This window comes from Homo sapiens, chromosome 20, assembly GCF_000001405.40.
Source record: "Homo sapiens chromosome 20, GRCh38.p14 Primary Assembly".
In the NCBI taxonomy this organism is placed as follows: Eukaryota; Metazoa; Chordata; class Mammalia; order Primates; family Hominidae; genus Homo; species Homo sapiens.
In genome coordinates, this window is record NC_000020.11 from 23,809,247 (window position 1) to 23,821,834 (window position 12,588).

At 42.8% G+C, this 12,588-nt stretch overlaps 1 long non-coding RNA gene across 1 annotated transcript; it reads left to right on the forward strand.

Moving 5' to 3' along the window:
- The first annotated feature begins 1,412 nt into the window (after positions 1-1,412).
- Positions 1,413-11,845, forward strand: LOC105372575 (uncharacterized). Its single transcript, XR_937389.3, has 3 exons — positions 1,413-1,481; positions 10,567-10,769; positions 11,335-11,845. It is a non-coding gene; the product is annotated as an uncharacterized LOC105372575 (long non-coding RNA).
- Positions 11,846-12,588: the final 743 nt, after the last annotated feature.

A 12,588-nucleotide genomic window follows, 5' to 3' on the forward strand; every position in this document is an offset into this window, starting at 1 on the left:
GAATTCAACTTAAATCCAGAATTTTCTGTTGTTGTTGATTTTCTGCCTCTATGAACTGTCTAGTTCTGTCAGTGGGATATTGAAGTCCCATACAAATACTGTATTGCTAGCTATCTTTTTTTTTTAGGTGTAGTAGTATTAGTTTTATGAATCTAGGTGTTCCAATGTTTCGTGCACATGTATTTGAAAATGTTAGATCTTCTCAAATAAATTTCTTTATCATTATATAATTACCTTCTTTGTCTCATTTATAGATTTTTCTATATTTTTTACTTTTTTCTTCTCTCTCTGAAATATCTATGACTCCTATTTTTACATGCTTTTTATATGGTCCCATATTTCTTGAAATCTTTAATCATTAAAATTTTTTTTCCTTTATTTTTGTCTGGCTGGATTAATTTGAAAGACCTACTTTCCATCTCTGAAATAATTTCTTCTGCTTTGGTCAAGCCTACTGTTGATGCTTTTACCTGGATTTTAAAATTTCACCAATACAGTTTTTATTTTTAGTAGTTGTATGGGTTTTTAAAAATCTATCTCTTTTTTCATATCTTGAATTGTATTTCTGATTTATGTTGCTTTTCAACTTTCTCTTGGATTATTTTGTGCCTTTTAAAAATCAGTATTTTAAATTCTTTATCAAGCATTTCAAAAAAAATTATTTTCATGAAGACCCATTTCTGGAGAGTTAGTGTGGTCCCTTTGAGGTACTGTTACACTCTGCTTTTCCATACTTTTGAATTTTTTTTTGCTGATTCCTTCTCATCTGCAAAAGCTATCTCTGTTTCTAATTTTTAAATTTACTTTCATTTGGAAGAGATGTTTTTGTTTTTTCCTTTTCTCCCTTGAGAATGTGTATAATGTCTGCTGTGTAGGGTTCAACTTTGGTTCTGGGCTTTCATTGTTAAAGGTTCTGTGTATGTTCCTTGGTTATAGATAGTCTTTGTATGGTGGCTTTCTCAGACGTTGGTTATAGTAGTGGTGTAGGGATGAATGAGTGGGTTCACTGTCTCCTACAAGTCCAGTATGGTTAAGGTCTCAGGAAGCTTATCTCATTCTCCAGTGCAATGCATTTCTGTCAGCAGATTTTCTATTAGATTGTGTCATTTATTTTCCAAGCCAGTGTGTGGTGCTTATGGATAAGAACCAGCTAAGGCTGATGCAGATGGGGCATATACTTGATCTTTGTTTATGGCGAGATGCTTTCTGTTGCCTCAGGCAATGGGCTATGTTGTGGAATGCACAGTGGTGTGAGCTCCCTGTACAGTCCTGGACTGAGGGAACAAGTTGGTTGGGGCCAGAGAATGCAGACATGCCTACATGTCTGCCAGTGGTAAGGGCAAACACTAGCTCTGAGGGCAGATAAAGAGGCAGCTGCAAAACATCCAGAGATGTGCCTGGGTATGGAGGGGATAACCCTCTGCTGCCCGAAGTTCTCTGCCTGGAAAGGGAGTGGTAACCTACCCTTCTAATCTTGAAAAGTGAGTACTCCACATGCCTGAAGATATGTCCAGGCATGGAGCATAGTGGGTGCTGCTGATTCAAGACCTATGCACCTGAAGGGAGGAGTGGCTGAGGCTCCTAATCCAGGTGAGAAGGTTCTCCAAATGCCTGGGAATGTGCCTAGCATGGAGTGGAGAGGGTGCTGCTGCAGAAAGATCTCTGCGTGAGAAGGGAAGGGCAGCTCAGATTCCTATTCCGGGTAAGTGGGTCCTCAAAATGCCTGGAAGTATCCCTGAGCATGACAGAGAGGGCACTGCTGTCCCAAGATTTCCACACAGGACAAGAGAAGTGACTCAGGATTGCAGTCCAGTAGAGCAGGTGTGCTGAATGCTTGGAACTATGCCTTAGAGTGGAGTAGAAAGGCACAGATGCACCAAGATCTCCGCATTAGAAGGGAAAGGCAACTTATGCTCCTAATCCAGGTGAGGGGGCACACTGAATTCTTGAAATTATGCCTGGTTGTGGAATGAAGAGGGTGCTTCTATACCAAGATGTCTGCACGGGAATGGAAGGGTGACCCAGGGTCTTAATCTAGGTGAGCAAATGGGCCAAATGCCTGGAAATATGCCCCTCAGTGAGGAACAAAAAAATTTGCTTCAGAGCAGTGAAATGGCTATTGCAACAAGGTCTTTGCAGGAAAGGCTGCTAGGCCCTTATTTCAGGAAGTGGAAGTGTTGAATGCTGGGAAATATGCCCAGGCTTGGACCTGAGGGGGTTTGTTGCTTTGCCAAGTTATTTGCAAGATAAGGGAGCTGTGGCCCACACTCCCAATTCAGACCAGCAGCTCTGTCTTTGAGTATGCTCTGTAGGCCCATGAGAAGAATGTATGTTCTGTGGTTGATGTGAGAGGTGAAGACAGCTAGGCTTCTGGGTCAGGTGGGGACTTGGAGAACTCTTCTGTCTAGCTAAAGGATTGTCAATGCACCAATCAATGCTCTGTGTCCAGCTAAAGGTTTGTAAATGCACCAGTCAGCACTCTGTAAAAACAGACCAATCAGCACTCTGTAAAATGGACCAATCAGCTCTCTGTAAAATGGACCAGTCAGCAGGATGTGGGTGGGGCCAAATAAGGTAATAAAAGCTGGCCACCTGAGCCAGCAGCTGCTACCTGCTCAGGTTGCCTTGCATGCTGTGGAGGCTTTGTTCTTTTGCTCTTCACGATAAATCTTACTGCTGCTCACTCTTTGCATCTGCACTACCTTTATGAGCTGTAACCCTCACCATGAAGGTCTGCAGTTTCACTCCTGAAGTCAGTGAGACCATGAACCCACCAGGAGGAATGAACAACTCCAGATGCGCCACCTTTAAGAGCTGTAACACTCACTGTGAAGGTCTGCGGCTTCACTTCTGAAGTCAGCAAGACCACAAACCCAGCAGAAGGAAGAAACTCCAGACATATCTGAACTTCAGAAGGAACAACTCTGGACACACCATCTTTAAGAACTGTAACACTCACCATGAGGGTCCACGGCTTCATTCTTGAAGTCAGCAAGACCAAGAACCCACCAGAAAGAACCAATTCTGGACACATTTTGGTGATCATGAAGGCACTATTGCCTATGACCAAGCAGTGAGTACCATCGGACCCCTTTTGCTATTTATTCTGTCCTATTTTTCCTTAGAATTTGGGTGCTAAATACTGGGCACCTGTCGGCCTGTTAAAAGTGACTAGCGCAGCCACCAGACTAAAGACATGGGTGTCAGGCTTTCTGGGAAAGGGCTCTCTAACAACCCCCAACTCTTTGAAGCTGGGAGCGTTGGTTTGCCTGGAACCAGCTTCCACTTTTCCTGTACTTCTGGGCTGAGCTGGGGGTCAACAGAGAGGAAAGCCATTCAGCTCTCAGGGTCAACAAGTTGGTTGACCCTGAAGCCATGAGTGGAACTCTCAAAGTCATGTCGCCCAAGCAAGACTCGCCCATCTATCCTATCTATCCTATCTCTCCTGACCCTTGCCTCCTGGATTCTAATGCTTGTCAGACAAACTTCCTCTCACCTCTCTTCTCTGAGGCTAGTCCCACTTCTAAAAACTACTCCCTATCTCTGGTGCTTTTCTAATTTCTCCTGCAAGAGTGATTTCTAGTATAAACTTCAGGACTCTGTTACCTTCTTTAGGCTCCCTGGTTCACCAATCAGAAAGACATAATTTTTGCCCAAAGCCCCATCACAGGGGGTACTATCTGGAATTTTAGGATCCCTCCTCAGACAAGCAGGCCTAATGAAGCTATTCTGGAAGCTAGGATATGGGGAGCTTCAGAAATGATATCCTTCCTATTCATATAACTGAGGACAAAAAGGCATCACTCTTCCAACTCTGATGATCCCTCCCCTCCCTCAGGATACGGCCCCCCACTTCATTTTTCAGGCATAACATCTTTATAGGACAGGGTTAAAGTCCCAATACTAACAGGAGAATGCTTAGGACTAACAGGTTTTCAAGAACGTGTTGGTAAGGGCCACTAAATCCAATTTTTCTCAGTCTTCTTTGTGGTCTAGGAGGAAAGGCAAGGGTGCAGGTTTTCAAGAATGCATTGGTAAGGGCCACTAAATCTGACCTCCCTCAGTCCTCCTAGTGGAAGAAAACTAGTGTTTCTATTGCTGTGTCGGTGAGTGAAACTATTCCAATCAGCAGGGTCCAGGGACTGTTGCGTGTTCTTGGGCAAGAGGTGTTTCTGCTGCTGCATCTGTGAGTGCAACTATTCCAATCAGCAGATTCCAATGACCATTGTGGGTTCTTGGGCAGGGGGAGAAACAAGCAAACCAAAACCATGGGCAGTTTTGTCTTTCAGATGGGAAACACTCAGGCATCAACAGACTCACCCTTGAAATGCATCCTAAGCCATTGGGACCAATTTGACCCACAAACCCTGAAAAAGAGGTGGCTCATTTTTTTCTGCAATATGGCTTGGCCCCAATATTCCCTCTCTGAAGGGGGAAAGTGGCCACCTGATGGAAGTATAAATTACAATACTATCCTGCAGCTTGACCATTTCTGTAAGAAGGAAGACAAACGGAGTGAAATACCTTATGCCCAAGCTTTCTTTACATTGAAGGAGAATACACAACTATGCAAAGCTTACAATTTACATCCCACAGGAGGACCTTTCAGGTTACCCCCATATCCTAGCCTCCCTATAGCTCCCCTTCCTATTAATGATAAGCCTCCTCTAATCTCCCCCACTGAGAAGGAAATAGGCAACCAAATCTCCAAAGGACCACAAAAACCCCTGGGCTATCAGTTATGCCCCCTTCAAGCTGTAGGGGGAGGGGAATTTTGCCCAACCCAGGTACATGTCCCTTTGTCCCTCTCTGATTTAAGGCAGATCAAGACAGACCTGGGGAAGTTTTCAGATGATCCTGATAGTTACATAGATGTCCTACAGGGCCTAAGGCAAACCTTCAATCTCACTTGGAGAGATGTCATGCTATTATTAGATCAAATCCTGGCCTTTAATGAAAAGAATGCAGCTTTATCTTCAGCCAAAGAGTTTGGAGATACCTGGTATCTTACTCAAGTAAATGATAGAATGACAGCTGAAGAAAGGGACAAATTCCCTACTGCTCAGCAAGCCATCCCCAGTAGGGCTCCCCACTGGGACCTCAACTCAGATCATGGAGACTGGAGTCACAAACATCTGTTAACCTGTGTTCTAGAAGGAGTAAGGAGAATGAGGAAAAAGCCCATGAATTATTCAGTGATGTCCACCATGTCAGGGAAAGGAAGAAAATGCTTCTGCCTCCCTCAAGCAGCTACGGGAGGCCTTAAGAAAATATACTCCCCTGTCACCCAACTCACTGGAGGGTCAATTGATCCTAAAAGAGAAGTTTATTACCCAATCAGCTGCAGACATCAGGAGAAAGCTCCAAAAGTAAGCCATGGGCCCTGAACAAAATCTGAAGACATTATTAAACCTGGCAACTTCAGTGTTCTATAATAGGGACCAAGAGGAACAGGCCCAAAAGGAAAAGCAAAATCAGAGAAAGGCCACAGCTTTAGTCATGGCCTCAGACAAACAAACACTGGTGGTTCAGAGAGGACAGAAAATGGAGCAGGCCAATCACCAGGTAGCGCTTGTTATCAGTGTGGTTTACAAGGACACTTTTAAAAGATTGTCCTATGAGAAACAAGCTGCCTCCTCGTCCGTGTCCACTATGCCGAGGCAATCACTGGAAGGCACATTGCCCCAGAGTGCAATGGTTCTCTGGGCCAGAAGCCCCCAATCAGATGATCCAACAACAAGACTGAGGGTGCCCGGGGCAAGTGCCAGCTCATGTCATTACTCTCACTGAACCCCGGGTATGTATAACCATTGAAGGCCTGGAAATTGACTTCCTCCTGGACACTGGCACAGCTTTGTCAGTGTTAATCTACTGTTCTGGACAGCTGTCCTCAAGGTCTGTTACCATCTGAGGAATCCCGGGACAGGTATTTCTCCCACTTCCTCAGTTGTAATTGGGAGACTTTGCTCTTTTCACATGTCTTTCTTGTTATGCCTGAAAGTTCCATACCCTTATTAGGGAGGGATATATTAGCCAAAGCTGCAGCTATTATTTACATGAATATGGGGGAAAAGTTACCCATTTGTTGTCCCCTGCTTGAGGAGGGAATCAACCCTGAAGTCTGGGCATTGGAAGGAACAAACTCAAGCTCCAGCCTTAAACCTTCCCACAGGACAAAACTTCTCTTTATACATCACAAGGAGAGCAGGAATAGCTCTTGGAGTCCTTACTCAGACTCGTGGGACAACCCCACATCAGTGGCATACTTAAGTAAGGAAGTTGATGTGGTAGCAAAAGGCTGGCCTCACCATTTATGGGTGGTTGTGGTGGTGGCCATCTTAGTGTTAGAGGTTATCAAAATAATACAAGGAAAGGATCTCACTGTCTGGACTACTCATGATGTAAATGACATACTAGGTGCCAAAGGAAGTTTATGGTTATCAGACAACCATCTACTTAGATACCAGGCCCTACTCTTTGAGGGACTGGTGCTTCAAATATGTACATGCATGGCCCTCAACCCTGCCACTTTTCTCCCAGAGGATGATGAGCCAATCAAGCATGACTGCCAACAAATTATAGTCCAGATTTATGCCACCTGAGATGATCTCTTAGAAGTCCCCTTAACTAATCCTGACCTTAACCTATATACTGATGGAAGTTTATCTGTGGAGAATGGGATATGAAGGGCAGGTTATGCCATAGTAACAGTACTTGAAAGTAAGGCCTCTTCCCCCAGGGACCAGCGCCCAGTCAGCAGAACTAGTGGCATTTACCCAAGCTTTAGAACTGGGAAAGGGAAGAAGAATAAATATGTATACAAATAGCAAGTATGCTTATCTAATCCTACATGCCCATGCTGCAATCTGGAAAGAAAGGAAGAACCCCCATTAAATACTACAAGGAAGCCATGGAGTTATTGCATGCAGTGCAAAAATCCAAGGAGGTGGCAGTCTTACACTGCCAAACCCATCAAAAGGGGAAGGAGAGGGGAGAACAGCAGCATAAGCAGCTGGCAGAGGCAGGGAAAGACCAGCAGAAAGGAAAGAGAGAAAGAGACAGAAAGTTAGAGAAAGAGACAGAGAGAGGAAGAGAGAGAGAAAAAAGGAGTCAGAGAGAAAGAAAGAAAGAGACAAAGTCAAAGAGACAGAGGAAGAGAGAGAGACAAAGAGGGAGTCAGAAGAGAGAAAAAGAGAGACACAGAAAGTCAAAGAGAGAGAGGAAGAGACAGACAAAGAGAGAAACAAAGAGAAAGACAAAGAAAGAGAGAGACAAAGAAATCAAAGAGAAAGAGAGAAGTAGTAAAGAAAAAAGTGTACCCTATTCCTTTAAAAGCCAGGGTGAAATTAAAACCTATAATTGATAAATGAAGGTTTTCTCTGTAACCCTATAACACTCCAATACCACCTTGTCAGTGTAAACAAGGGTGTAGCCTGAAAGCACTGAGGCCACTGACAACCTGTAGCCTTCCTATCAAAAATCCTTAACCCAGTAGGTTTCCTAACAGGGGATCTAAATCTTAATTAATTACTATACAAAGGTCCGACCAGATCTAGGAAGAACTCTCTTCAGGATAGGAGGATAGATGGTTCCTCCCAGGTGATAAAGGAAAAAGACACAATGGGTATTCAGTAAGTGATAAGGAAAATCATAGAATCAGAATTAGGAAAATTTTCTAATAATTGATCTGCTCAAGGGTGCGAGCTGTTTGCACTAACCCAAACCTTAAAGTACTTACAGAATCAGGAAGGAGCCATCCATACCAGTTCTAAGTTAATATGGACTGAACGAGGTCTTATTAATAGTGAAGAATAATTGAAATTCCAAACTTAAAAGGTTTTCAACAAAAGTAAAGTTTGCTAAAAGTTAACAGTGCAAACATATATTATCCTAACTTCTAGTCTTGTGAAATCAGACCCTATCAGTACCCTATAACTGATATTATAGCCCAAGTATAATTGATATTATAGCTCAATTACCCTATAACTGATATTAAAGCTCAAGTCCGTCAGTGCAGAGCTATACAACTAATACCCCTACTTACAGGGTTAGGAATGGCTACTGCTACATGAACCAGAATAGCCAGTATATTTACTTCATTATCCTACTACCACACACTCTCAAAGGATTTCTCAGACAGTTTGTAAGAAATAGCGAAATCTATCCTTACTCTACAACCCCAAACAGAGTCTTTGGCAGCCATGACTCTCCAAAACCACCGAGGCCTAGACATCCTCACTGCTGAGAAAGGAGGACTCTGTACCTTCTTAGGGGAAGAGTGTTGTTTTTACACTAACCAGTCAGGGATAGTACAAGTTGCCACTCAGCATTGACAGAAAAAGCCTTCTGAAATCAGATAACACTTTTCTGATGTTCTTACATATGGAAACCCAAATGAGCTCAACTAACAACTTCTACCAAGGACCCCTGGACTGACCCGCTGGCCCTTTCACTGGCCTAAAGAGTTCACATCTGGAGGACACTACAACTTCAGGGTCCCTTCTTTGCCCCTATCCAGCAGGAAGTAGCTACAGTGGTCATCACTGAATTCCCAACAGCAGTTGTGGTGTCCTGTTTGAGGGGGGATTGACAGGTGAAGCCAGCTAGGCTTCTGGGTCAGGTGGGGACTTGGAGAACTTTTATGTGTAGCTAAAGGATGGTAAATGCACCAATCAGCACTCTGTGTCTAGCTAAAGGTTTGTAAAGGCACCAATCAGCACTCTGTAAAAACAGACCAATCAGCACTCTGTAAAATGGACCAATCAGCAGGTTGTGGGTGGGGCCAAATAAGGGAATAAAAGCTGGCCACCCCAGCCAGCAGTGGCAACCTGCTCGGGTCCCCTTCCACACTGTGGAAGCTTTGTTCTTTCACTCTTCACAATAAATCTTGCTGCTGCTCACTCTTTGGGTCCTCACTACCTTTATGAGCTGTAACCCTCACCACAACGGTCTGCAGCTTCACTCCTGAAGTCAGCGAGAGCACAAACCCACTGGGAGGAATGAACAACTCCAGACATGCCACCTTAAGAGCAGTAACACTCACTGTGAAGGTCTGCAGCTTCACTTCTGAAGTCAGCAAGACCACGAACCCACCAGAAGGAAGAAACTCCAGACATATATGAACATCTGAAGGAACAACTCCGGACACACCATCTTTAAGAACTGTAACACTCACTGCGAGGGTCCGCAGCTTTATTCTTGAAGTCGGCGAGACCAAGAACCCACCAGAAGGAACCAATTCAGGACACAGATAGGTGGAGCATTCTGTAGATGTCTATGAGGTCCAATTGGTCAAGTGTCAAATTTAAATCCAGAATTTCTTTGTTAGTTTTCTACCTTGATGATCTATCTAACAGTGCCAGGGGGATGTTGAAGTACCCCATTATAATTCTCTGGCTAATTCTTTTTGTAGGCCTTGGCATACTTGTTTATGAATCTGGGGGCTGCAATGTTGGATGCATATATGTTTAAGAATAATTAAGTCTTCTTGTTTAATTGAACCGTTTGTCATCATGTAATGCCCTTCTTTGTCCTCTTTAAATTGCTGTTTTGGGTTTAAAGTCTGTTTCATCTGATGTAAAAATAGTAACCCTCTCCCTTTTTTGTTTTCTATTTCTGTGATAGATCTCCCTCCAACCTTTTATGTTAAGACCATGGGTGTCATTACATGTGAGATGGATCTTTTGAAGACAGCAGATGGATGGGTCTGGGTTTTTAAATACAACTTGTAATCTGTGGCTTTTGAGTGGAGTATTTAGGCTGTTTATGGTCAAGGTTAATTTTTGTTTGTTTGTTTGAGACAGAGTATCACTCTATCACCCAGGATGGAGTGCAGTGGCACAATCTCAGCTCACTGCAACCTCCGCCTCCTGGGTTCAAGTGATTCTTCTGCTTCAGCCTCCCAAGTAGCTGGGATTACAGGTGCGCACCACCATGCCCAGCTAATTTTTTGTATTTTTAATAGAGACGGGGGTTTCACCATGATGGCCAGACTGGTCTCGAACCCCTGACTTCATGATCCACCCATCTCGGCCTCCCAAAGTGCTGGGATTACAGGCTTGAGCCACTGTGCTTGGCCCAAGGTTAATATTTATATGTGAGTTTTTGATCCTATCATGAAGGTGACAACTGGTTTCCCTGCAGTATGTATTGTGTTGTTGCTATATACTGTCTTTGAGCTATATTTAACTGTATTTTTGCAACAGTAGGTATTGTTCTCTTATTTCCATGTTTAGAACTCCCTTAAGCATCTCTTAAGGCTGGTCTAGTGGTAACAAGTTTTCTCAGTAACTGCTTGTTTGGAAAAGATTTATTTTTCTTCTTTGCTTACGAAGCTTAGTTGGATGGGATAGGACATTCTTGGTTGGAATCTATTGTCTTTAATAATGCTGAAAATAGGTTAGTGTCATGAAAATGTACTCACTAATATGGTATGTACAATAGCGCACCATGCAGTTTGTTTTTATTTTGTTATTTTGTTTTTAATTTTACCCAAGTGAGACCCAAGTTGTTTTATTTTTTATGGGAATTTAATGGGTAGAATTTCTTGATTTTTCACATTTGTAGGGTGCAGACCTGCATAGTGAAACTACCCACAGCAAGGATGTATGCCTGTGAGTTGGCACAGAATCGGTGGATCAGACTTGGCCTTCAACCTCCTGTTATCCTGATGAAATTGCAAGCTCCAAACAACAGAGACACAACATTGACCAACAGTAAGATGCTTGAAGAAATATTTCTTTCAGGACAAACTCTGTGCATCCCATGAGGTAATCAATATAGTATATAGCTTACATTTGCACAATTTTGAAGCCCACTACAACAGTCAGAGTTTTTAAATGCTGTGTTTAGTGAGCATTGTTGATACAGTCTTTAAGATCATCAATCTTAAGTCAAGAAAATTTAGAAAGTACCAAAATCTTAGCACTCACACGAAAGAAAACTGGAAGCTTTTCCAAATTAGACAACAATCAGACAAATTTGCATAACATTACCTATATGAGTCTTGAAGCAGAAAGAAAATGTTATAATCCATGATTTTCACAAGTAGGATTGATTGTAGTATTTCATAATTTTGGATGATTGTATTATTTATCAGAATTTTAAAGTGATCAAACTTAGTGGAAAGACTGGTTTATCTTTCTGCTATATTTACAGAAAATTCTATTATAAAATCAATATCACGTGATGAAGCAAATAGTGACTCAATAGTTGAGTATGAAAACATAGAAATAACTGGTTACACTGTTGTGTCCACTAGTTAATAAAAATGTTATGTTAGTAAGTAAAAGGAACACAAATTAAGGAAAGGCAAATCTGCCCTTTCATCTGCAGGGTGGATGGATGGACTGATGAGGACAAAGCCAGTGACATCATGAGCAGGAAACAATGTTTCTCTCAAGCTGCAGCTTCAAAATGTCAAACAGCCTCTTCCTTGGCTGACAACTGCTTTCTGACTCAACGGGAGACCTTGTTCTCCAACGTCAGGGGCTGTCAGAAACTTTGCTTATGAGTAAGAAGAACATCCCAGTTCTTGGAGGATCTACATCCACCTCTTCACAGAAGCACAGAGCTACAGAGAAGGGGTTTCTGGATGGAACATTCCAAATCTGGCAGGACTTTATGGGTTCTAAGGACACAAGACCTAGGTCCACTTTGCAGAGCAGATTTGACACTGGCTGCTTTACACTAAGACCTGCCATGCTCTGAGTCCATCACTACAGCCTCAAAAATCCCTCCCCACAGTCTTATAATATTCTCTTTGCTTTGTTTTTTGAATCATCCCAGGTTGGTTGATGTGAATTTATTCCCTTTTTGCTACAAGCCAATAGTCTGTTGACTGCAAAATCAGTTTTGGTGACTGACTGCACTAAGATATATATTATTTTTCTGGAATTTGGGATGATTGTAGTATTTATTAGGACTTTAAGATGAGTAATTTGTTGTGACTTATTTCCTCTTCTTAAATAAACACTAACTTTTGTGCTTAGTTTCTGATTGGTTATATTATGCTATTTTTCATGCAGATAACTCTGTGTATTATGTAAGCCTTAGACCTCACGGAACCTGGGTTGTCTGTGGTCATAGTGCTGAGAATCCACCTGCCCAGGGAATGACTGCACTGGTTCCTGCTTCCCAGGCCTCCAATGGACTTATCCCTCCTTTCAGAGTGATTTGTTTATGCTGAAGGTGGAGTTTCTAACTTCAGCGGTTTTAGTCTTTTAGCAAGAATTTGTGACATTATTTTTGCTAAAGGAACTCTTAGAAGGGGTGCAATATTTTCAAAACATGACCCTCATGAGACTTCTTTACTCCAAAGACCCAGTAGCTTCTGGACAGGGCCCAGACTCTCAGCTTGTTCCAGAAGAGAAAGACCCACATGCTCACCTTCAAGCCTCCCTGCCCCCAGCTCCCCTCCTAGGGAACAGACACACAGGGAGATGGTGGAGGGAGCCTTCTACAGAGCCAGACTTCCCCCTCCACTTTCCCAGGAAGAGAGATGTCAGAAAAGTTACTGGTTTACAGAAAATCACCTGTTCCTTGTGTCCTTGGATGGTGGTTGCTTATGTCAAGACAGACCCTTCCCCA